Here is a 25,427-nt window from a genome sequence, read left to right as displayed (position 1 = left end):
CCATGCCTGGCTGATTTTTGTATTTTTAGTAGTGACAGGGTTTCACCATGATGGCCAGGCTGGTCTCCAACTCCTGACCTCAGGTGATGTGCCTGCCTCGGCCTCTGAAAGTGCTGGGATTACAGGCATGAGCCACAACATCTGGCCAATTTTAGTTCTTTTTAAAAACAATTTATTTTTGCAAAATTCTTGACAGTTTAACAATCAGTGCTCATGAGCAAGAATGTGGCAGCTTCACTTCCCTCCTTGTGACCTGCACTTGCACCTGCACTCAGGCAGGCCGGAGCACAGAAGCTGAGGCATGTTGGAGAAAGTGCCAAGTGCTTCTGTGATATATTTTTCATTTCTAAAAACAAGATTCACGAAGAAATAACATGCTGAATTGAAAAATGGTTATTTCGATCTCAAAGATTCTTTAATTGAAAATACTCATCTAGGTCAATTCCCTAGCCATGAGCAAGAATTCTTTCTGGTTCTGTTCTCCAGGGTACCTTATTGATCACAGTCCTGTTGGAAAACAGATGGCACACTCAAATGGGGTTTGTCTGAGTAAAGTTTAATGCAGGCATATTTACAAAGATATGGGCAGGGTTCAGAGAAACCCATAAGAAATGGTGCGGTTAGCCAGAATAGGGAATAATGACCACTCGAGGCCTAAAGGATTGGGAAGGAGCAGTCCTCACAGTCTGGAGAGAGTTGTAGGAGAGGGTTGGCCCACAGGAGCTGTGGCCTTTAGTTGAGGAACATAGCCACTGTCAACCTGAGGCCCAGCTGGGGGAATAAATATCCTGATGCTACCCTCAGCCTTTTCCAGTGGCTTGCTGCATAAAAAATTATAAATGCATTCTCCTGTTTCCCTATAAAAACTTCAGGTAAAGTCACTATTTTTTTTTCTTTTTTGAGATGGAGTTTCTCTCTGTTGCCCAGGCTGGAGTGCAGTGGCACGATCTCTGCTCACTGCAACCTCTGCCTCCCAGATTCAAGCGATTTTCCTGCCTCAGCCTCCTGAGTAGCTGGGACTACAGGCACATGCCACCACACCTGGCTAATTTTTGTATTTTTAGTAGAGACAGGATTTCACCATGTTAGCCAGGCTGGTCTCAAACTCCTGACCTCAGGTGATCCACCCGTCTTGGCCACCCAAAGTGCTGGGATTACAGGCATGAGCCACCCTGCCTGGCTGGTAAAGTCACTATTAATGTCACTTAAGTCACTGCTTCTTGAGCACTGACCATTGGCTGAGCCCAACCAGAAGCCAGATGACAAGGGAGCCTGTTGAAGCAATGAATAAAGGAAGCGAATTCATCAATTCACTTCTTAGTCCCAAGAGCAGGGGAATAAGGATGGCAAGTGGATTTGGAAGGGCAGAGAGATTATCCAGCACAGTTCCTCAATAGCTCACTGCAAGAAGTTATTCCCATTGAAGCATCTAGGCTAATGCTTCTGAAATTTTATTGGACATACTTATCACCTAGGGATTAAAATGCAGTTTCTGATTCAGTAGGTCTGGGGTGAAGCCTAAGAGCCAGGTGATGCTGATGCTGCTGGCTGGAGACTACCCTTTCAGTAACAGGATCTTAGGCTATCCCTGACCTCCATCCTAAGCCCCACTGAGCTTGTCTAGCTAAGGGGATCAGGGTCAAAAAAAAAACCCTTAGTGCTTCCCTTCCCACTTCCTACCTCTCTTTCCTCTCCTTCTACCAAAATGTCTTCCTGATGCAGCCCAACTACCTAGTAACAATCCAGAATTCTGTTCTCTGTCCTCCTCTTCTCCCAAGGCCAAGCTGGAAATGGGGTGAGTTTGTGGACCCCCAGTACTTTAAAGCAGACCTCTTCAATGGAGGAAATCCTTAGGGAATATTCCAAATTCCCCACAACCTCCCCTGTGTACTTTTTTTTTTTTTGAGACAGAGTCTCACTCTGTTGCAAAGGCTGGAGTGCAGTGGCATGATCTCGGCTCACTGTGACCTCTGCCTCCCTGGTTCAAGCAATTCTCTGCCTTAGCCTCACCAGTAGCTGGGATTACAGGCACTCGCCACCACGCCTGGCTAATTTTTTTTTCTTTTGTATTTTTAGTAGAAACGGGATTTCACCATCTTGGCCAGGCTGGTTTTGAACTCCTGACTTTGTGATCCACCCACCTCAGCCTCCCAAAGTGCTGGGATTACAGGCGTGAGCCACCACACTCGGCAGTTCTTATTTTTTCTCCTCATCCTCATCCTTATAGTCAAGGTTGCTGGAGAAAGCCAGTGATCTCCCAAAAGAAAAAAATTTTCAGCCAAGCCATGGGATGGGACTGGGGAGAGAAGTGTCCCCACTCCCCATTAGAACTTTTCATTGCATGGAGTAGCTCAATGGCCATTCCACTCGTGCACCTTTGAGAGCTGCCAGGGTGTCATTATTGACTGGCTCTGGCCATGATAGAGGTCCCTGCTCCTTCACCAGCACTTAATGCAAGCCCTTTGGAAGGCACAGTGCTGGGAGTTGTTCACAAATCTTGAGCATTAAATAAAAGATGTGCCTGTGTTTGTGTGCGGGACCGATTGGCCACCAGGAGTAAAACTGTGGGTGGTATGTCCATTCCTGGACATATGCAAGCCAGAGAGGCTCCCATTTCTGGATTAATGGGAATCTTCACTCAGTTAGTAATGACTGCCAGGAAGCAGGTTAAGTCTTCATTCCTTATAAGGCAAGGATGCAATAACTCACAAGACTTAGGAACAGGTTTATTTAGCTCTGTTCTAAAGCAGGAGGAAGTAGCTGTGGCCTTATCCCTTGGACCCTTGTTCAGCTTGCTTGATATAAGAAAGATTGGCCCTATGACTATTCCCATTAATTCTAGATATGATGCAGGTATTCATGCTAGCAGGTATATATGTATGATATATGCATGGTGGGGGGCAATGATTGTAAAGCTGGAAGTTGGATCAAGGTAGTTTAAGTACAACTTCTCCTCCTCAGGAATGTAGATAATCTCCTTCTCCTTCTCCTTCTTCTTTTTGAGGTGGAGTCTTGCTCTGTTTCCCACTCTGGAGTGCAGTGGCGTGATCTTGGCTCACTGCAACCTCCACCTCCCAGTTAAAGCGATTCTCCTGACCCAGCCTCCCAAGTAGCTGGGATTACAGTCATGCACCACCATGCTCAGCTAATTTTTTGTATTTTTAGTAGAGGCAGGGTTTCACCATGTTGGCCAGGCTGGTCTCGAACTCCTGACTCAAGTGACTCGCCCACCTCGGCCTCCCAAAGTGCTGGATTACAGGCATGAGCCACCATGCCCAGGCAGGAATGTAGACAATTTTCTGAAAGGAGGACAATGCAAGAACAATAATTAGATGTAGCCCTTCTGAGACTTTCCTCATTATCTATGTTCACTTACCATAGTTCCCACATGGGATAATTTCCATGCACTGTTCTAAGAACAGGAGCCACAGTAAGGGAGGGCTTCCCAGTGATGGCTTGCTAGTGAAGTCAGCACCAGATATTCAGACCCTACTAGTAAATGACTCCCCAAGGGGCATGTATCTGGTGGCCTGGGGATAGTCCTGCTTGCCCCTTTTCCTGAAAGAAAGCGGAAGAGGATGTGTCCCCAGGTTCCTGGCAAGCAAATGAACCATCCCATAACACCCACCTTTCCATTTATTTGGCACTTACAAACCTGACGCCATAGAGCAATTTAGTTTATAAGGAACTCTTTGACTACATTACCACATTTAATTTTTACACAAACCTGTGAGATAGTTAGGGCAGGTTTATTACTATTTTGCAAACAAGGAGCTCATGTTTGGCTGGGTGCAGTGGCTAATGCATGTAATCCCAGCACTTTGCAAGGCTGAGATGGGAGGATCGCTTGAGGTTAGGAGTTTGAGACCAGGCTGGGTAACATAGTGAGACCCTCGTCTCTAAAAAAATATAAAACTTAGCCCAACATGGTGGCATGCACGTGCAGTCCCAGTTACTTGGGAGGCTGAAGTGGGAGAATCATTTGAACCTGGGAGGTTAAGGCTGCAATGTGCCATAATCTCACCATTGCACTCCAGCCTCAGTGACAGAGTGAGACCCTGTCTCAAAAACAAAACAAAACAACCCAAAAAACAATCGAGGTTCACAAAAGTTAAATAATGTACCAACTCATCTGAAGTCATAAGACTCTTAGGCGGTAGAGCCAGGACTGGAGTTCAGGTGTTCTGACTCTTAACACGGTGTCTTTCTTTAAGCTGCCTTCCTTTTATACACTTTTGTCTAGTAGCTAATTTTAATTACTTCCTGAGTTTGTCCCCTACAGATTTGTGAGTGCTCAGAGAGCACTCTGAGAGAGTCTTTGTCTCTTTCATTTACTAATATTCCCTCAACACTTTCAGCAGTGCCTGATACCTAGGATGTGCTTCATAAAATTATGTTGAGTAAAGACAGGAAATAGATCACCAGAAGGTGGGACTCTAATTTTGACTTCTTGGTATCCCTTGCAATATTTACACAATGAGAGAGTAAATATTATTGATAAGCATAATGACCTAACATCCAGTGGGGGTGTGATGACTCCCAGGAAGCCATCCACCCTGTAAGGTAATATATTTTAAGGAAGAGGATCCCTGCCATGGCTTCCCAAATTCTAAGCACTAACTCTCTATTCTTAGCCTTTCTCATTGTCTTCAACTGCCCCTCTCTCATCCTCAGGGTTAGGACATTTGCCCTTCAAACAGACTGCCTGGAAGTTGAGGCTTGTGTCTTTTTGATTTAGGAAATAGGCTCTATGGAGCCTCGTAACAATAGCTCTCATCTCCATGTGTTCCCACTGCCACCAGAAATTATAAAATGGTTTGTTTTTCTCTTGGCAGCCTCCACCCAATGGTTCCCCATGCGTGTGTTGCTTTCTTCAATTTTCCCCTCTACAAAATCTGGTCATGTTTAATAACAATAAATCAGAGGAGAGATTGCAGCCCAGAAGAGAAGTCTGGGGCAGCCGGGGTTTCCACATCTGGGGCCCATTCGAGTTGAAGTGATGACAATTCCTAATAAATGTTAATGGAGAACCTCCTCAGATTCATACACTCCAGCCATAATTTAGCCTGTCTCTATGCCAGATGACCTTTTGAATATCCAGAGTACACCCAGCATAGCAGCAGCTACAGCCCTGGACTGCTTCCTGCATATGAAGTGGAAAAAACGAGGCTGTTGTTATTGATTATATTTCTCCATTTTCCCTTCCCTGGATTTTTCTTTCAAAGGCTCACAAAGCCTTGGGACTCCCTCAGCCACCCAGGTGGTTAGAGACAACACAGTCTGGTTAAAGGATGTTACGCTCTGCTCCTACAGGAGAGCTCCCTAAGAAGTCTGACAGCCAATGCTGGTCGCAGAGAAGACAGGGCTGGACATCAAAATTCTCCCTTTCCAGCCAGGTGCAGTGGCTCATGCTTGTAATCCCAGCAATCAAACAAACAAAAACCAAAGCAAGCAAACAAACAAACAAAAAAAAACCCCACAAAATTCTCCCTTTTCTTGGCTTCTGAGACCCTCTGCTGATTTTGTTTCTCTATCCCTTTCACCAGCCACGGCTTCCCCCACCTGCCCTTGCTAACTAGGCAGTGTGCCAAGCTGGCTTCAGTCTCTGGCTTTTCTCTTCCTATACCTGTCACCTCCATGAGTCCAATGACCACAAGCGGTTTTCTGTTCTGACTTCTCTCTGAAGGTGTAGTCCTGAATTTCTTTCTTTCTATTCTTTCTTTTTGTGAGGCAGGGTCTCACTCTGATCCCCCAGGCTGGAGTGCAGTGGTGTGACTTCAGCTCACTGCAGCCTTGACCTTCTGGGCTCAGGTGATTCTCTCACCTCAGCCTCCCGAGTAGCTGGGATTACAGGTGCGCACCACCATGCCCAGCTAAGTTTTTGTATTTTTAGTAAAGCCGGGCTTTGCCATGTTTCCCAGGTTGGTCTTGAACTCCTGGACTCAAGCAATCCACCCTACTTGGCCGCCCAAAGTGCTGGGACTTACAGGCATGATCCACTGTGCCTGGCCTAGTCCTGAATTTCTACCTAAGGGCTAGGCATTTTCGCTTCATAACCAGCCATTGTCTAAATTCTATTGTCTAAAATACATTATCATTTCTCCCAAACACAGCTGGCCTCTTCTCCAACTTCCATGTATCTATTAAGAGCATTTCTATTATTTCAGCTATACAGGTATAAAATCATGGCGCTTCCTTAGGCACCCTCTCTCTCCTGCCTCCCTTTCCCATCAGGTGATAGAACTATTGAATCTTCCATCCATCCAAATCTCATTCCTTTTCACTCCCACTGCCACCCCACACTTTAGGCCCTTATTCCTTCACCTTGAAATTACCTTCTAACTGCTCCCTCTCTCTGCTAAACCATCTCTGAACACAGTGATCACATATATCATCTCAAGATGCTTTTTTTTTTGAGACAGAGTCCTGCTCTGTGGCCCAGGCTGGAGTGCAGTGGCGCAATCTCGGCTCCCTGCAACCTCCACCTCCCAGGTTCAAGTGACTCTTCTGCCTCAGTCTCCTGAGTAGCTGAGATTACAGGCATGCACCACCATGCCCGGCTATCAAGATGCTGTCTTGATCGGTCCTTCCACAGCTCAAAATTACTCAGTGGCTCTCCATTGACTGAGTATTATTATGATTCAAAGTTTTTCACAATTAGGTGCCCATTTACAATGGAGTGAATCTTTATGTTTCCCCCAAATTCATATATTAAATCCTAGCCCCCAAGGTGATGGTATAGGATGGGACCTTCGGGAAGGGATTAGGTCCTAATGGTAGAGACCTCGTGAATGGGATTAGTGCCCTCATAAAAGAGGTGGTCCCAGAGAGTTAGCTTGCTCTTCCCACCATGTGAGGACACAGCAAGAAGGCACTACCTATGAAGAAGCAGGCCTTTACCAGCCACCAAATCTACCAGCACCTTGATCTTGGACTTCCCAGCCTTCAGAATTGTAAGAAATAAATTTCTGCTGTTTATAAGCCACCTAGTCTATGGTATTTTGTTACAGCAGCTGGAGCAGAGTAAGACACCACTGAACTATCTAAGATCACATAGTGTAGAAGCCAGATGTTTAGACTGTAAATCCTATCTCTTTTTCATTATTTCCCCCTTACCTGCTCTAGTGACATGCCCTTATTAGAAAGAATTTATTTAACAATTTTTTTTTGGCCAGGCACAGTGGCTCACGCCTGTAATCCCAGCACTTTGGGAGGTTGAAAAGGGTGGATCACCTGAAGCCAGGAGTTTGAGACCAGCCTGGCCAACATGGTGAAACCCTGTCTCTACTGAATTTTTTTTTTTTTTTTTTTTTTTTGGGACTGCTACATGCCAGAGTTTGCTGAGTACTGGAGGATAAAGTTGTGAATATGACAAACATTGTTCCTGCCTTTATGGAAACACTTTCTAATGGGGGAGACAGACAAATAAAAAGAAAGAAAATAGGCAAATAAAATAATTGCAAATTGCTAGGAAATAAATAATTTATAAACTGCTAGGAAAGAAAGATAAGAGAAAATAAGGCAGTTCTATGACTTTTTTTTTTCCTCAAGGCTGAATCTTGCTGTTACCCAGGCTGTAGTGCAATAGTGCGATCTTGGCTCACTGCAACCTCTGCCTCCTGGGCTCAAGAGATTCTCCTGCCTCAGTCTCCCAAGTAGCTGGGATTACAGGTGTGCACCACCACACCTGGCTAATTTTTTGTAGTTTTAGTAGAGACAGGGTTTCACTATGTTGGCCAGGCTGGTCTCAAACTCCTGACCTCATGATCTGCCTGCCTCGGCCTCCCAAAGTGCTGGGATTACAGGTGTGAGCCACCACACCTGGCTCAGTTCTATAATATTTTAATTAGGCTTCCAAACTCTCATCTCTCCCATTGCTACTTTTCTGGTTCCTGAAGACGATCACTTCTTAAGGACCCACCTTCTAATAGCTCCAATAAGGAAAACCATAGATGATACTTTGTAAATGCAAATAATTCCCTGAATGCACCTCTATTTTATTCATCTAAATATATAGTAAACAATTCAAGCTAGATTTGGACATTTAGAATCAAAGATGTAATCTAGTGATCCCTCATTTGGACCACAAATGAGATAGATCTTTACATTAATGTATGACGGATTTAGGTTAGACACAATGAAGAACTTTGCAGCAAAAGTTCAGTGGAACAGGTACCTGAGGGAGTGTATCAGTCAACTTTACTAAAATAATGCTGCATAACAACTAATCTAAAATCTCAGAAATTTATAACATTTATTTTTTGCTCACAGGTTTGTGGATTGGCTGCAGTGATTCTGTTCAGGTTGTGAATCTTGTTCAGGTCTGCTCCATGTAACTTCTCATTCTGGGACTCAGGCCGAAGTGACAAGGGCATGCTCTTCTCGTGGCAAAGGGTAGAGGTGCAAGAGACCAAGCTTAACCAAGCAAGTAGAGTTAAAGCCTCTGTTTACATTCCATTGGCTAAAACAAGTCACATGGCTAGACCCATCATCAATGGAGTGGGGAAGTTTGCTCCCCCAACGGAGGGAAATAGAGAAGAATGAATGTTTGCTGAGCAATAATACACTCCACCACAGGGAGGTTATGGAGTTTCCTTCACAAGTGGTCTTTACAAATAGAAGAGGTTGTTATCTCTCTGGGTTCCTCTGGGTACCATATTACCTGAAGTATAGCAAAGGAAGACCAGAAGACATGATTTCTTAAAGATGCCTGTTTTGGTACAAGGGCAATGTAATTTGTGTTTGATATCTGGTTGCCACTGAATCCCCTTTTCCTTTTCCACCAGAGCTGTGCCATGGGGGTGATTTCCAGGCCAAGTCTTAATATCAGAGTCTCTGCATGATTGTATACAAGTGACAGTCACACAGCAAACATAAATACAGATGGCTCTGATACCATCGGGGAACAGTATTCCTGCCATCGGGCCAGTTTTGTCTGCTGCTACAGTGCAGTTAACTCTGGAATGAAATTGGAAAACTAACTGATGGTCAGAGAGGACTGGAAAGATTTTCATTTGTAACTGAGACAGGCAGGGCTCAGCAAAAGGTGATGCAAGAGCAGATTTTACCATAGGCTCAGTAAATCCAGCTAACAAACATGCATGCATTGTATTGAATCACTTAAGGATCTAAATATTTGAATGTATTCAAATGGAAAGACGTGATTGTGCACTCACACCCTCAGCAGTTTTTGACTCCAAGGCTTCATATTCTGTACCCTTTGCACCCTTGGTGATAACCTTTCCTTCTTCTACCTCAGTGTGCTCATTCTCCCTCTTCTCCCTCCCCAATATCTGTTATCAGGAACTCCTTAGGTCCTACTGAAAGTATAGTCCCCAGACCAGCAGTAGCTGGTCTCAGGTGCATCACCTGAGAGCCTGTTAGAAATGCAAATTTTGGGGTGCATTCCCCAGACTTGCTGAATCAGAATCTCTGGGTTTGAGGTGGGGAACAGTTGTCTCAGGAAATTGTGTTTTCATAAGCTCTTCAGATGAGAAGTTAAGCACATACACAGAAGTTTGAGAACTAGGGCAATTCTGACTCAGTAGGTCTGGGTGAAAGCCATGACCTGCGTTTCTAACAAGCTTGCAGATGATACTGATGCTGCTGTCTGTGGACCACACTTTGAGTAGCGCTGCTTTAGAACTCAATTACATACACATGAAATGATGGCCAACAGTTAAAAGCCTTACTGGTCCTAAGTGGATAGGATCAAAGTCTTAGTGAATAAAATGAGCCACTAATGGTGGAATTTTACGCAACAGCCACCAGGTTTTTTTTAAAGTATGTTTTGAGCCGGGCATGGTGGTTCACACCTGTAATCCCAGAACTTTGGGAGGTCGAGGCAGGCGGATCACTAAAGGCCAGGAGTTTGAGACCAGCCTGGCCAACATGGCGAAACCCCATCTCTACTAAAAATACAAAAATTAACTGGGTGTGGTAGAGTGTGCCTGTAATCCCTGCTACTCAGGAGGCTGAGGCAGAAGAATTGCTTGAAGCCAGAGGTGGAGGTTGCAGTGAGCCGAGATTGCGTCACTGTACTCCAGCCTGGGCAACAGAGCAAAACCCTGTCTCAAAAAAAAAAAAAAAAAAAAAGGAAATGTATATTTTGGTCAGAGGGTGGGCCTGGAGCCTCTGAAGCCACACTGTGTGTGATTACCTTCCATCCCACATACAGAATCCATCCTGTCAATGGATGATTAAAGAATGAATGTAGCACGGGGGGAAAGCACTGGGCTGGGAGTGAGGAAATCTGGGTTCCAGTTCTTGCGCTGTCACTGAGATTGTGCACGTGGTTGGGTCCCTTACCTCTCTCATACTCATCTATATAACTGAAAAAATGAACTGATGAGAGATACACAATCTCCAGCATCCCTGCCCCACTGTGCCCACTTTTTCGCCTTGGTTTTTCAAAAATGTTTGTGGGTAAATAGTAGGTGTATACACTTATGAGGCACATGAGATATTTTGGTACAGGCATGCAATGTGTAAGAATTATATCATGGAAAATGGGTATCCATCCCCTCAAGCATTTATCCTTTGTGTTACAAACAATACAATTATACTCTTAGTTGTTTCAAAATGTACAATTAAAGTATTATTGACCATAGTCCCCCTGTTGTACTATCAAATATTAGGTCCTATTCGTTTTTTCTATTTTTTTTTTTTTTGTGCCCATTAACCACCCTACCTCCCCCTCAGGCCCCCCACTACCCAGCCTCTGGTAACCATCCTTCCACTATCTCCAGGAGTTCAATTGTTTTCTTAGATCCCACAAATAAGTGAGAATATGCGATGTTTGTCATTTTCCATCTCTTTAAAAATTATACAAGGTTATGATTACCTTAGCAAAGATTTCCTTTCCAGACGAGTAAGCGAGTCTCAAAAAATGGTAAACCAAAGCTGCAGAATTGAGGGCCCATAGAGTTGAATGCTGTGAACCATGAGTAGAGTTGCGCCCGACTCTAACCATCCCACCACACCCGCCTTAGTGCCTACTCAGGGTCGGGGTCTCCACTTCCCACTTCCTAACTGGGTGACTTGGGGCAAATTACTCTCTCTCCTGGAACTGTGGTTTTCTATTCCATAAAATGAAGATGAAAATAACACCTACCTAATAGGGTTGTTGTGAGGTTTAAAATCATTAATACATGTCAAGTGCTCAGGACAGTGTCTGGCACGAGAAGAGCATTCGATAAATGTCAGGGACTATTATTACTCCAGGAGGAGGAGGGGCCGCCCTCATCAGCCCCCGCCACAGACTGTTGAAATCTCAAGCCCAAGCTGCAGGTCTTCCTCTGTCCTGTAGGTGGCGCCTCCCCGCGTTGAGCGTGCCACCTGCGTCCTGGAGCGCTTCGAGAAAGCGGAAAGAAGTAAGTTTTCACATCTCTGCTCAGTTCAGGATTGCTAGAGAGGAATCTTCTGCAGTCACCTGAAGCCTGTGCCCAGGACAACCAGGTTTTGGGATCCGATTTCCTTCCTGGAGTGGCTTTAAATCCATTTCTCGCTGCACCCCACCCCCATCACCTGGGCGCCTCCCCTGCACCTGCAACCCAGAAAGACTCCTCCGAGGATTGCACTCCCAGCACCTGAGGTAGGCAGTTGAGTGGGAGTTTCTTTGCTGCTCGGTTAAAATGACAAGTTGGTACACGAGTGCTTAATGAAAGATGCTGGAAACCTCCTTGGAGATCAGAAAAATCGCCTCTCCGAGCTGACAGCCAGGCCATCTGCATTCCCGCATTCCTATTAATTCCTTAACAATAAACGACAGGAGCGCCTAGAGGGTTAACAGCTTAATTTAATCTCTGAGATTCCTTCCTGGAGCATTGAGAATTAGAAAGGCATTTACACAACGTAATCTGCACACCTGATTTTTCCTCACTTGATGTGTCTGGGACTAGTCACACCCATTTCTGACACATCTCCAGACAGAGGCTCTGCCTCTCTGGCTGATGACTGCATAGTCGCCACAGGTTGCTGTGGACTCTGAACCACGTGACTGGACTCTTAGTGTCACAAGATCTGGCTTCTTAGCAGCTGCCCCCATAGTTGCTTTACATTATGTTCCCAGGGCCTTTCAGGGACAGGAAGGTCCCCAAATAGAGATAGAAAGGTGGTGCCCAGTTGGGAGTGAATTTCCTTCCCTTGTGGGAAGCAAGGCAAAAATGGGAAGAGGTACGTGGTAGCAGCAACCAGCTTGGAGAGCTGTGAGGTCAGATTTTGAGAGTCCCTGGCAGATTGAGAACTATGCTTTGGAAATGCTTGACTCTAATGCCAGTCCTCTCATTTTATGGGTAAGGAAACTGAGACTTGGAAATGTCTAATAAATTTGTTTAGGCCCTATGTCCAGGTAATGTCAAAGCCCCAAAGTAGAATTCAGGTCTTTTTACTCCTGGACAAATATTTGTTTCACGATAAGGTTGGCAAATAGATTTCATCTTGCATGGTAACTCCCATCATAGGCTGGTAGGGGCTGCCCAGGGCCCTATGGGCTTCTCAGGGTATGTCCAGGCATAGCAGGAAAAGCCTCAGTGACCATTTGAAGATGTCTTCCAGGAACAGGGAAGGAGCAAAGGTGCCAGATATTTGCTATCCCTGCATTTTTCATGCTGTTTCCTTCAGGTTAAAGCATTTAAAGGCTCTATTAAAATGGAAATGTTAGCTGGGAGGGGTAATGCATTAAGCCATTATCTGTCATTAACACCTTGGGTAAAATACATTGAAGATTAGTTTGCTAGTTGCCCAGCAGGTCCCTGGAGGAATGACAGTTTTGACCCAGATAGGGGCCAGGGAAATGACACACAGCCCTGCCCATAGGGGTGCAATATTTGGAGGCCCACTGCAGATAGGAGTTAGGTTGAACACACTGGATATCTAGTGGAAAGAACTCTGAGGGACCAAGTTAGGGAAAGAAGTGACCCTGAAGACATTTTTGCACAATTCTCTCTTGGTTTACCTTGTATAACACAGTTTCTACCAGTCACATTGCTTGATCCTTCGTCTCTCCACCTGTAAAATAAAATTAAAATTTTAAATACCAATGCTTGGCTCCTACCCCAAGCCAATTAAATCAGAATGTCCAGGAATGGGACCCTGCTCTCCCTTTCCCCCAACACTTCTCTATAGAACATTCTGGTCTTGGTATTAGTCATCGTACTGAAACAGGAAATTTTCCTTGACCCCTTCATGGACCTTGCAACAGGGGTGCCTCAGTTACTTAGCCCCCAGCTCTCAATCCCTCACAGGAGGGGGAGCACACAAGTGAGCAGGTGCAGGAGCCAGAGTGACTGCTTTTGGGTGCTGGCAGGAGCAAAACTGTGCAGCCCTGCAGCAGCATCTGTGGGGGTACCCGCAACCTCTGAAGACCCAGAGGGCATGTGTTACAGTGTGCTCTTTTAGCTTTTCTGTCCATGAATGGCTTAAGTGTTAACAGCTCAGTGGAGGGTCAGTGTGACAACCTTTTGCACCCATACCTGAGTCCTTGCAACCAAGGTTGCATGAAAAAATTGAAGGGTGATGAATGCGGAGAATTTTATTACTGATGAAAGTGGCTCCCAGCAGGATGGGGAGCTGGAAGGGGGATGGAGTGGGAAGGTGATCTTCCCATGGAGTCCAGCAGTCCCCTGCTGTACACTTCTCCTAAGTCCCACCATCAAGCCATTCCTCTGAAGTCAAGCTGTTTCTTTCCAATGTCTGGCTACTTCTTCTCTTCTCTCCTTCTTTGCCATCTGCCAGTTGGGCCAGGGGATTTAATGGGTACAGGATGAGGGGTGAGACAGGTCATGGTGATTTTGGAAAAGGCAACATTTGAGCAAGAAAATAGGAATGCATGCTCTCACTTTGGACCGCGGTTCTAGGCTTGAGGGTGGGGCTTCGCCAGGGACCCTGCCCTTTTCTGCCGAGAATTTCCCTGCTTCCTGCCCCTACCAATACCATCCTGTCCTTATCCACACACTAACATATTTTATGTACTTACAATGATATAGATTCTGTATCATTTTATATTTTGAATGTGTCAAAATGCAGAAGCAGGTAACAAAAAACTAAAAGTGTCAATAAAAGTTCTTACTCTCTCACAAAATAAGAAATGTAGAGGTCTTATTTTGGTTCATCAGCTGAAAAATGCTATGACTGACCAGGCTTCCTTCATCCTTTTGCTTTTCTACCTTCAGTGTTGGCTCTTGGTCTCTAGGCTTGCATGGTTGCCATGGTTGAAGAAATCATGTGCTCATACAACTATATTCATAGACATGAATGAAAGAGTAGGAGCCTCATGCATACTCGTCTTTTTAACTAGAATAAAAATGTCCTCAGACGTCTCCCAGTAGTCTTCCCCTTCCTCTCCTTGGCCAGAACTGTGTCATGTGGCCTAATATAATCTGAATGTTTGTGTCCCTTCAAAATTCATAAATTGAAATCTAATCCCCAATGCAATATTTTAAGAGGTAGGGCCTTTAGGAGGCGATTAAGTCATGATGGTGGAGCTTTGTACCTTTGTAAAAGAGGCCCAAGGGAGCTTGTTCACTCCTTCCATCATGTGAAGAAGCAGCAAGAATGCACCACCTATGAAGCTGAGAACACGCCTTCATCTGAATCTGCTGGTACGTTGATCTTGGACTTCCCAGGCTCCAGAACTGTGAGCAATAAATTTCTCTTGTTATGAATTATCCAGTCCGAGGTATTTTGGTGTAGCAGCATGAATGGACTAAGACAAGGCCATTCCTAGTTGTAAGGGAAACTGAGAAAGCAATAATCTGGTTTTTCAGTCTCTGTCGTGAGAAGCAGCTCTGCCAGAAGTATATTTGAGAAGCAGTAAGTATATTTGAGAAAACATGGAACAAAATTAAATATCTATAACAGCATTTGAGGACTTAAATGCAGCTGCTACTTTATATACTACTTTCTTTACCAACTAAAGCCATTTTCTTCATATCTGTGGTTCTAGCTCCTGAGACCACAACTTCCTACCTAGGCAGGAAGTATAAAAGAAGATCAAGGCCATTTAGATGTGTTTGTTAATTTGTGCTGTGACTATAAATGTCTTCCTGAACAGCAGACTCTTGTCATCTGGGATCTGATTCCTCCACTTCATCTTGCTAACTAACCTCACAGTGTTGAGACCTTCATCATACTCTTGAACAAGGGAGACTGCCCACTTTCTGGGATCTGTGCTTTCATCTCTAGATCCCCAGACCTGGTGTGTGTCTCTCCTTAGCATCTGCACAGCTCTCTAGTGATCTTATCTCCCTGACAGGCAAACCAGGTTCTGCTGTAGAGTGTGTGAAAAAAGGCATGACTATAGTTATAAATCTGAATATCTATGGAACAAGCCAAATGTGTAAATATTTAGGAGATACCAAACCAAGGAACCATCAGCGGAGTTAATCAAATTAGGGCTAGCTCCTGGCAAAATTTGACATTTAAAAAAAAGGCCTTTGGTTAATGGGTTAATATCCTTAATGTATAAAGAGTTCTTACAAATATATAAGAACAAAGGGACAAATATCCCTAAAGAAAAATGAATAAAAAGTAGAACAAGGTAATTTATAAAAGAAGTAATATGAAAGGCCAGTACATACAGTTTTAAAAGTTTATCCTGGCTGGGCGTGGAAGCTCATGGTTGTAATCCCAGCACTTTGGGTCACTTGAGCTCAGGAGTTTCAGACCAGCTTAGGCAACCTGGTAAGAACCCATCTCCACAGAAATAAAAATAAAAATAAAAATTAGCCAGGTGCCATGGTGCACACCTGTAATCTCAGCACTTTGGAAGGCAGAGGTGGGTGAATTGCTTGAGCCTCAGGAGTTCAAGACCAGCCTGGGCAACATGAAGAAACCTGCCTCTACAAAAAAAAAAAAAAAAAAAAAACTTTAAAAATTAGCCAGGTGTGGTGGTGCATGCCTATAGTCCCAGCTACTTGGGAGGCTGAGGTGGGAAGATCATTTGAGCCTGGGAGGTTGAGGCTGCAGTGAGTCGTGATGACCACTGCTCTCCAGCCTAGGGTGGGCAGGGGACAGAGTGATACCCTGCCTCAAAAAAACAAAACAAACAAAAAAAGCCCCACAAAGCTCATCCTTACCAATAATCAAATAAATATTATTTAAAACAGTATACCAATTTGTCAACTTGACAAAGGTTTAAGAAGGTTCTAAAAAATGTAATATATATAATATGCTAGATAAGATTAATTCACACTTCATATTCATTCCCACTATTTCTGATGTGCTTTTTTGTACTGCAGAAGCTGTAAAATAAAATACTGCATCTTCCAGACTCCCATGTAGCTAGGGTTCTGCATGTGAATTGGGTTCTGCAAGTTAAATGCACTTTGCTGAGATTTGTATGATGCTGCCTGCCGCTGTGCAGAGGCTTTAGCCATGATTCTTTTGGGTTAGATCCTTTAAATAGTTGAGCCCTGTGGCAAATAATAGGCTTTGTAATAGCTAATGTGTAGGATGCTTTAAATAAGATAGAAGGCCAGGCATGGTGGCTCGCGCCTGTAATTCCAGCACTTTGGGAGGCTGAGGTGGGCGGATCATGAGATCAGGAGTTCAAGACCAGCCTGGCCAACATGAAGAAACCCCGTCTCTAATAAAAATACAAAAAATTAGCTGGGTGTGGTGGCACACACCTGTAATCCCAGCTACTGGGGAGGCCGAGGCAGGAGAATCTCTTGAACCCAGGAGGTGGAGGTTGCAGTGAACCGAGATCATGCCACTGCACTCCAGCCTGAGTGACAGAGCAAGACTCCGCCTCAAACAAACAAACAAAAAGAAAAGAAAAGAAAAGAAAATTTCCTGTATATTAGCTCAAGGAAATAAATTATTTTGTCCCAATTTTGGCTCTGGCTTCGTGGCCTTGAACAGGTCACCTATCTCTCTGGGTTTCAGTTTCCTCATCTGTGTGGTGAAAGATGTATTAGATTACTCCTGCTGTCTCCAACATCCTAGCCCCATACCAATCAAACACAGGGCTAGCTCATTTCTCTTTAGGAGCATCTGTCATTCAGGTGACCCTAACTTGGCTTGAAGATCAGTGGGGAACCCCAGACTCCTGTTGTGGCAGATCAAATTTCATTTCTTTGGTCAACTCATTTGGTCACAGTAGAGATCACATGTACTTGCAGTGTTAGTATTTATGTGTTTTTGCCATTTTAGTTCCATGACTCTTCTACACAAGTGGGTGGGTTCATGTGGTTTTACGGTGCCTAGGCCAGGGTCCTTAAAACTCTCCTGCCAATGATTTCCCACCCCCGACCCATCCTGAATGCTGGCATAATGCATTCACCATTAGAAATGGCTCTATTAGGTCAAGGAATTGTTTCTAGTTAAAGTGAAAATACATTATGAAAAGAAGTAATACATTAATATATTAACCTCAGCTAACTTCATTAGCACTTATTACACATAAGGTTAGCTAACTGGTTATCATTTTGGAGGGCAGAGAGCAGATCTGGAGGAGAAAGGGAGCCCAGGCTTGACAAAGTTTGACTGGGAGAAAGGGTTCCCGAGAAAAGCAAGATTAGGTGAGGCGCCACAATGGGACACACTGGGAACCTTGGAGACAGCATGAATGTATGAATGTACTTCTTTATTTATTTATTTATTTGAGCCCAGACTAGAGTGCAGTGGTGTAATCTTGGCTCACCGCAACCTCCGCCTCCCAGGTTCAAGCAATTCTCCTGCCTCAGCCTTCGCAGTAGCTGGGATTACAGGCGCACTCCACCACACCCAGAACATTTTTGTATTTTTAGTAGAGACGGGGTTTTGCCATATTGGCCAGGCTTGTCTCGAACTCTTGACCTCAGGTGATCCATGTGCCTAAGCCTCCCAAAGTGCTGGGATTACAGGTGAGAGCCACCGTGCCGAGTTGAATGTACTTCTTTCCTTCATTCAAACAAATAAACATTTATCAAGCCTCCATTATATGCTAGGCACTCTGTCAGGTGTTGTGGATACAGAGATGAGTAAAAATTAGTTGTGATTCCTAAGGAGATATGATCTAGTTGGGGAGAGGGATGAAATGTAAAGTAGGCAAGAAAGTACTACATGCACACACACAGATGTATATGTGTACACATATACATCTTCAGTGCGTGCGCAAGATAAGGAGTGGCCAATTCTTGGGAGGCATCAGAACAAATTTCATGGAGTCAGTATTTCTTTCCTTCCTCATATGAAGAAGGAGCCGTGACGGGGAGGGAGGATGAACAAGCTGCAGCTACCTCATTATTTTTATCTAGGGCCAGCCTTGATAAGGGAAGTGAAAACTCTTCTTTGTGATTGGATAATGAGACAAATAAATTTATAGAGGAATTGGAGGCAGAGTCCCATTTGAATCCTATCCTTTGACCTTTGGAGGGCAGGCTGTCTACCCAGCATCTGAGAGTCACCAGTAGCAACATGGGGTACAGCTTTTGGTGGCTGAGAGCATGGGCTTTGCTGTCAGACTCTCTGGGTTTGAGCCCTGGCTCTTTGACCTTGGGCAAAGTACTTAACATCCATGGCTCCGGTTTTCTTGTTTGTAAAATGGGGAAGAAAATAACACCTGTTTCATGGAGTTGGGAGAATTAAATGTAATAATGCATAGAAAACACTGTAGTAATTATCATGGATTTTTCTGAGATGTGTTCTATGAAACAAAAATGACCTAATTCAGTAGTAGAGCCGAGTGATTCTAGCTCTAGTTCAGTATCTTTTACTTCACTGGCAAAACTGACAGCTAGTCCGTGGTGTTCCAGGGATCTTGCAAATCTTTTTTATAACCCCTTTGTCTGCCTTGTATTCCCATCCAGTTCTTTTGTAATTATGATCATGCCTCACATTCAGAAAATTCAGGACAGGAAAATCTGAGTGTGTTAAATTATACATCTAGGGTTTGTTTTTTGTTTTTTTGTTTTTACTTTAAGTTTTGGGATACACGTGCCGAACGTGCTGGTTTGTTACATAGGCATACATGTGCCATGGTGGTTTGCTGCACCTAAGTTTTAAGCCCCGTGTGTATTAGGTATTTGTCCTAATGCTCTCCCTCCCATTGCCCGCCACCCCCCAACAGGCCCTGGTTTATGATGTTTCCCTCCCTGTGTCCATGTGTTCTCATCGTTCAACTCCCACTTATGAGTGAGAACATGCAGTGTTTGGTTTTCTATTCCTGTATTAGTTTGCTGAGAATGATGGCTTCCAGCTTCATCCATGTCCCTGAAAAGGACATGAACTATTCTTTTTTAAGGCTGCATAGTATTCCATGGTGTATATGTGCCACATTTTCTTTATCCAGTCTATCATTGATGGGCATTTGGATTGGTTCCAAGTCTTTGCTTTTGTAAATAGTGCTGCAATAAACATACGTGTGCATGTGTCTTTATATTAGAATGATTTATAATCCTTTGGGTATATACTCAGTAATGGGATTGCTGGGTCAAATGGTATTTCTGTTTCTAGATCCTTGAGGAATCACCACACTGTCTTCCACAATGGTTGAACTAATTTACACTCCCACCAACAGTGTAAAAGCATTCCTATTTCTCCACAGCCTCGTCAGCCTCACCAGCATCTGTTTTTCCTGACTTTTGAATAATCGCCATTCTGACTGGTGTGGGATGGTATCTCATTTTGGTTTTGATTTGTGTTTCTGTAATGACCAGTGTACATCTAGGGCTTTATATTCGTATTACAAAATAATTATTTGTTTTAAAGGAGAATTAATCTTTATGAAGTTAATTTCCTATGTACCTGCAAAGCTGAATGCAAAATATAAAAACTTATTTTTACATACATCTTAGAATCATAGAATTGTGAAACCTTAAAGTTGGAACAGGCCTTAGAAATCATCTAGGCTAGTGGTTTTCAAATTTTTATTATAGCTGCCCTATTTCTGTAAAAGTGTTATATTTCTTAGATGCATGATGCAGATGAAAGCAGAGTTACTCTGATTAAACCAGGATGGGGAGGTGGAGTACTCACTCCTTTGCCCTCTTGCCCTATCCTGGAAGCAGCTTCTGAACACCTCTGAGTAAGCCAAAGGCTTCTAGGAACATAAATTTGAGTTCCACTGATCCCACTTAACAATTTCGTTTTGTACATTCCTTTTGTAAAACGTGGTTCTACTGTTTTTCTATTAATTCAACTGTCTTATTTTCTTTTTTAAATTATAGGTTCCTTGAGGGCAGGAACCTTTTTAATAAAAAAATTCTGGGCTGGATGTGATGGCTCACACCTGTAATCTCAACACTTTGGGAGGCCGAGGTGGGAGGACTGCTTGAGCCTAGGAGTTCGAGACTAGCCTGAACAACATAGGGAGAACCTGTCTCTACAAAATAAAAATAAAAATAAATTAGCCAGGTGTGGTGGTGCACTGTATAGACTCAGCTACTCAGGAGGCTTAGGCAGGAGGATTGCATGAGCCTGGGAGGTCAAGGCTGCAGTGAACTGTGTTTGTACCACTGCACTCCAGCCTGGGTGACAGAGTGAGACTCTGTCTCAAGAAAAAAGAAAAAATTCTTAGTGTACTTTCTCTGCATGTGAGTATTTAAGGCCTTGTCAAAACCTTCCTGTTAGTGTCAGAAATGACCAGAGACTATAATTATATATAAACATCCTTTATTGAATCTTTGAAAAGTGATTTCATAGAACCATAGAATTTTCAGCTTGAAGGGACCCTGGAGAACATGAACTTTAACATTCTCATTTTCTGGATGTGGAAACTGGGGCCCAGAAAAGTGGTTTGGTTGATGTCATGTAGTGACTTAATGGTAGAGCTGGGACAAGAGTCCTGGATGCCTGATTCTTGGTTTAGGGCTGTTTCAACTTATAACTTACACTGCTAGGATATTATAGATTTGTATTCCTGAGAATACACTTCAACTACCTACAAATCGTCTAACTTTTCTCAATAGTTAGACTAGAGAACTATCTTTATAATCCATGGCTTATGTTTTATTATGTGTTTGTTTTGTTTTGTTTTGTTTGTTTGTTTTGAGACTGGCTCTCACTGTCACCCAGGCTGGAGTGCAGTGAGTGGCATGATCACAGCTCACTGCAACCTTGAACTCCCAGGTTCAAGTGATCCTCCTACCTCAGCCTCCCAAGTAGCTGGGACTACAAGCATGTGCCACCATGCCTGGCTAGTGTTTTTTAGTCTTTGTAAAGATGAGGTCTCATTATGTTGCCCAGGTTGGTCTTGAACTCTGGAGCTCAAGCAGTCCTCTCGCCTCTCAAAGTGCTGGGATTACAGGCATGAGCCACTGTGCCTGGCTCTGTGTAATTTTTTTAGTAATAAAAATTAAGAAGTACTGACATGAAGAGATGTCCATGATATAGTAAATAGAAATGCAACTATTAGATATGTCCCTTTTTGTTTAAAGCTTTGGATATTTCCCTAAGGTTTATCTGGGTGTATTTTTCTATGGTCACTCTTGACTCAAGTATCTAGTGAACACCCAAGGATTTAATGATATAATAACCACATCTGTTAATTTTTATAAGTTGGCTTTCATGCCCTTATAACTCTTATAACAACCATAAAGTTATAAATTTACTTTCTTATTCTTTTTAACTATTACAGTGTTGCATAGTATCTATGCATCATAATTTTATAATTTATTTACTCAATTCCTTATTGACAACATTTAGGTTATCTCTGAATTTCAAAAAGTTGCAGTGAAATTCCTCACACATACATCGTTTTGCATAGCTGTGAGCATTTTTGTGGGATAGATTCCTAGAAGTGAAATTGCCGGATCAAATTTTGAGATACATTCATCCTCATATTTGTCTTTTGTTGCTGAAACTAAAATGAATAAACTCCAACATCTGTACCTAACTTTGTAGTCTATTGAGGTTTTTACACACAGAAAGGTATTTGAAGCTTTAAACATCTGTGTGGGTTTATGGATGGAGAAAATGAGGCTTAGACAAGTAAGTTATTTGCTCATTCTTAGGGCTAGGGAGTGTACAGTCAGATTTGAAAACTAAGGCTTTTCACTCTAGGTATAGGGCTAAAAGTCCCAAGTGAAAACACAGAAATAAACTTAGGAGGACAACAGGAATGTGAATACATTTTCTTTAGGCATGAGAGCCCACAAGTTTGGTCTGTTGGTAGCTATCAGCTGAAGCAAAAACATATCTGGACCTTACCCTGATGCCTTACTGAAGAGAGCACCAGCTTTCCTGTCAGAAGCCATCTTCACCTTCGCAAGTGTTTTTTTGTTTGTTTGTTTTTTGTTTTTTTTGTTTGTTTGTTTGTTTTTCAGACAGGGCTTCACTCCATTACCCAGGCTAGAGTGCAGTGATACAATCTCAGCTCACTGCTGCCTTTGCTTCCTGGGCTCAATCGATCCTCCCACCTCAGCCTCCTGAGTAGCTGGGATGACAGGCACCCACCACCACGCCTGGCTAATTTTTGTGTTTTTTGTAGAGATGGGGTTTCGCCATGTTGCCCAGGCTGATCACGAACTCCTGGGCTCAAGCAATCTGCTTGCTTCAGCTTTCCAAAGTGCTGGGATTACAGGTGTGAGCCACCGTGCCCAGCCCATAAGTCTTTATTTCCTGCGCAGTCTTCCAAACCAGATGTCCCCTGTCCCTCTGAGATGAGGACCTTTGGTGAAAAGTGGATGTTTTTAGATAGAGGTAGAGCATGTCTAAGAGTCCAAACCTTTAAATTATCCTGAGAACAGTTTGGTTGTATATCCAGAAATGAACACTGCCATAGTCTGCCATGGTGACAAGAGGTTCAAAGGGTGTTGAGAAAACTATTTGTGTCCCGGATGCAGAGGAGAGGAGAAGCCCTGAGATACGTGAATTAGACCTACTGGACAGGCCTTTATGAGCAAAAAAGCTGTATGTGTGTGAGGGGAGAATGTGGCATGAGACAGTTTTTCTTCTGGAGACAAGGAACTCTGTTCTGGTGAGCTTCCTGCTGTGCTCTAAGGACCTTCAAGTTGCCAGAGGATTTTTAGCATGGACTGGGCCCCATGAATGTCCGGTGACAATAAAGATATTCCTGGATAAACATTTCTTTTTTTTCTTTCCACCAGGGCCCTGTCCATGCTAACTTCTTTTAAACTTTTCAAACCGATTGATGGTAAAGCATACATCAAGTCATATTCAGTTTAATAGACATTTAGCGGGTGCCTACTATGTGTAAGGCCCTGTGGATGCAAAGCAGAAGAATATACAGAGATCTCTGCAGAAAGACTGCGGGGGCTTCTGTAGCATCTCCATTCTCAGCCACCCAATCCTACCCAACCACAGTATCTCTTGGGAGCAGATGCTGCTGATGTGGGCAGAGCAGAGTTAGCAAAGGCACGACTTGTCACACACCACTGCCACAATCCGTGGCTGTAAGAGGGCCTCAGCGACCTTTTTGGGCGTGGGCTGTTTGGTTCAGCTTCCTCTTCTGAGACCCCATCTCCTAGCTGCATATCATGCTAGCAGGACCCAGAGAGATTTATCTGGTGACCTTTCTGCATGCGGAATCCAAGCAGGGGGACCGAGAAAATCAGCTCCGAAGCGGTTAATTTTACTGGCTCCTAAATTGATAAGCGGTGGTACGTCAGTCTGAAATGAACTCGCCTTGTTCGACGGGGTTCTAAGACAGCGGAACTCAATCAACAGCGGGCCGCAAGGTTCAAGGCTGCAATTCATCCCGCCGTGCCTCTGAAAAATGGGAGGTGACAGTTCATTTTGCCAGTGACAGTCTGTCGGTCTCGCTCGCTGCTTCTCCTGTCGATTGCCTGGCTGAGGTGAAGTGCAGCTCAGAAACACCCTCGTTTGGTATTCTACTCAGCTGAGCAGGATGGTCCCAGGACCCAAGGTGTGCAAATCTTACTGCCCCTACAGCTTGTCTTCTTCCCTTCTGGGAAGCTCTGAACTGCTCATGCATGATTATGGGTCCCAGGAGTCATCTTCCCACTTCCTGTCCTTCACCTTTCCCTCCAACCTTCACTTCCGGTGGACTGGGCTTCCTCCTGTCGCTGGGACTTTGTGAAAGAAAGCTAACCTGCTCAGGAGCCTTCCAGCCTACCGATAGAGGACTGCATAGGCAGCGACAAATGGGCGTGGTGCAGAGAAGTTACTAGTGCAAGTGGGGGCTTGAGGGAACACCAGACACAACCAGCTTGGCTCTGCCTTGGCAACCACAGCTTTAGTTTTAGAGAAAGCCCTTGAACAAGGGCAGAGAGAGGGGAAGGAGAGAGAGAGAGGTTACCTTATGAATGCATGCACCTAATCCCAGACTGCCACGTTTGCCTAGCACTTTCTACTTCTCTGAAAATGATAACACATATTTGAATTAAAGTTCATGTGCCCTTTGCTAACTTTCCTCATTTTGATAACCATACTGGGTGTTTGTGGGTTTTTTTGAGACGGAGTCTCACCCTATTGCCCAGGCTGGAGTGCAGTGGCACGATCTGGGCTCATTGCAACCTCCGCCTCCTGGTTCAAGCGATTCTCCTGCCTCAGCCCCTGTTACTGGGATTACAGACGCATGCCACCACGCCCAGCTAAATTTTGTATTTTTAGTAGAGATGGGGTTTCACCACGTTGGCCAAGCTGGTCTCGAACCCCTGACCTCAGTGATCCACCCGCCTTAGCCTTCCAAAGTGCTGGGATTACAGGCGTGAGTCACTGCGCCCGGCCTCGTACTAGGTGTTATTTTTAAGGGAATATCCTCATTCTTAGAAAATACCGTTGAAGTTTTTAGGGAAAAGGAGCGTGATGACTGTAATTTACTCTCAAATTCAGAAAAAAATGTAAATTAATCTAGTACTAATTACTTTTCTATAATTAACATTTTATTTATTATGAAAAATAAAGTAAATTTAATAATTGATGATTATTAAATTTAATAATTAATAATCGAAGTTAATAATTGATGATTCCAAGTGAATGGTATACTTGAGTTCTAGATACTATGATAACTTTTCTGTAAGTTTGAAATTATTTCAAAATAAAATTATTTTTAAAAAACCCAACAGGCCAGGCATGGTGGCTCACGCCTGTAATCCCAACATTTTGGGAGGCCAAGGTGAGTGGATCACTTGAGGTCAGGAGTTCGAGACAAGCCTGGCCAACATGGAGAAACCCTGTCTCTACTAAAAATACAAAAATTAGCCAGGTGTGGTGGCACGCACCTGTAATCTCAGCTATTCGGAAGTCTGAGGCAGGAGAATTGCTTGAACCCAGGAGGCAGAGGTTACAGTGAGCCGAGATCGCACCATTGCACTCCAGCCTGGGTGACAGAGCAAGACTCTGTCTCAAACAAACAAACAAACAAACAAACAAACAAACAGACTTACCTTGTAGCACTCACTCAGTAATCCTTTATTGAGGACCTACTATACACCAAGCATAGCAGTTGCTGGGAATACATTAGGAAATAAGATAGGTAAGATCTGAACCCTCAGGAGGAGAAGACAGGTGGCAGGTAGACA

General features: G+C 43.8%; 1 protein-coding gene and 1 long non-coding RNA gene across 2 annotated transcripts in view; one reads left to right on the top strand and one right to left on the bottom strand.

Moving 5' to 3' along the window:
- Nucleotides 1–2,705: 2,705 nt before the first annotated feature.
- LOC101927166 (uncharacterized) lies at nucleotides 2,706–23,913 on the bottom strand. The gene is made up of 6 exons (NR_110804.1): nucleotides 22,815–23,913; nucleotides 22,132–22,253; nucleotides 14,492–14,633; nucleotides 13,473–13,727; nucleotides 12,956–13,008; nucleotides 2,706–3,299 (listed from the first exon to the last, which is right to left on the bottom strand). It is a non-coding gene; the product is annotated as an uncharacterized LOC101927166 (long non-coding RNA).
- Nucleotides 23,685–25,427, top strand: part of SKAP1 (src kinase associated phosphoprotein 1) — a 311,620-nt gene continuing 309,877 nt past the window's right edge. The window contains exon 1 of the mRNA XM_047436976.1: nucleotides 23,685–23,809. Within this exon, the coding sequence (XP_047292932.1) occupies nucleotides 23,792–23,809 (18 nt within the window). The 5' untranslated portion in view covers nucleotides 23,685–23,791. The remainder of the gene's footprint in view (nucleotides 23,810–25,427) is intronic.

The sequence above is a fragment of the Homo sapiens genome, chromosome 17 (genome assembly GCF_000001405.40).
Source record: "Homo sapiens chromosome 17, GRCh38.p14 Primary Assembly".
NCBI lineage: Eukaryota > Metazoa > Chordata > Mammalia > Primates > Hominidae > Homo > Homo sapiens.
This window is presented reverse-complemented; position numbering and strand designations above follow the sequence as displayed.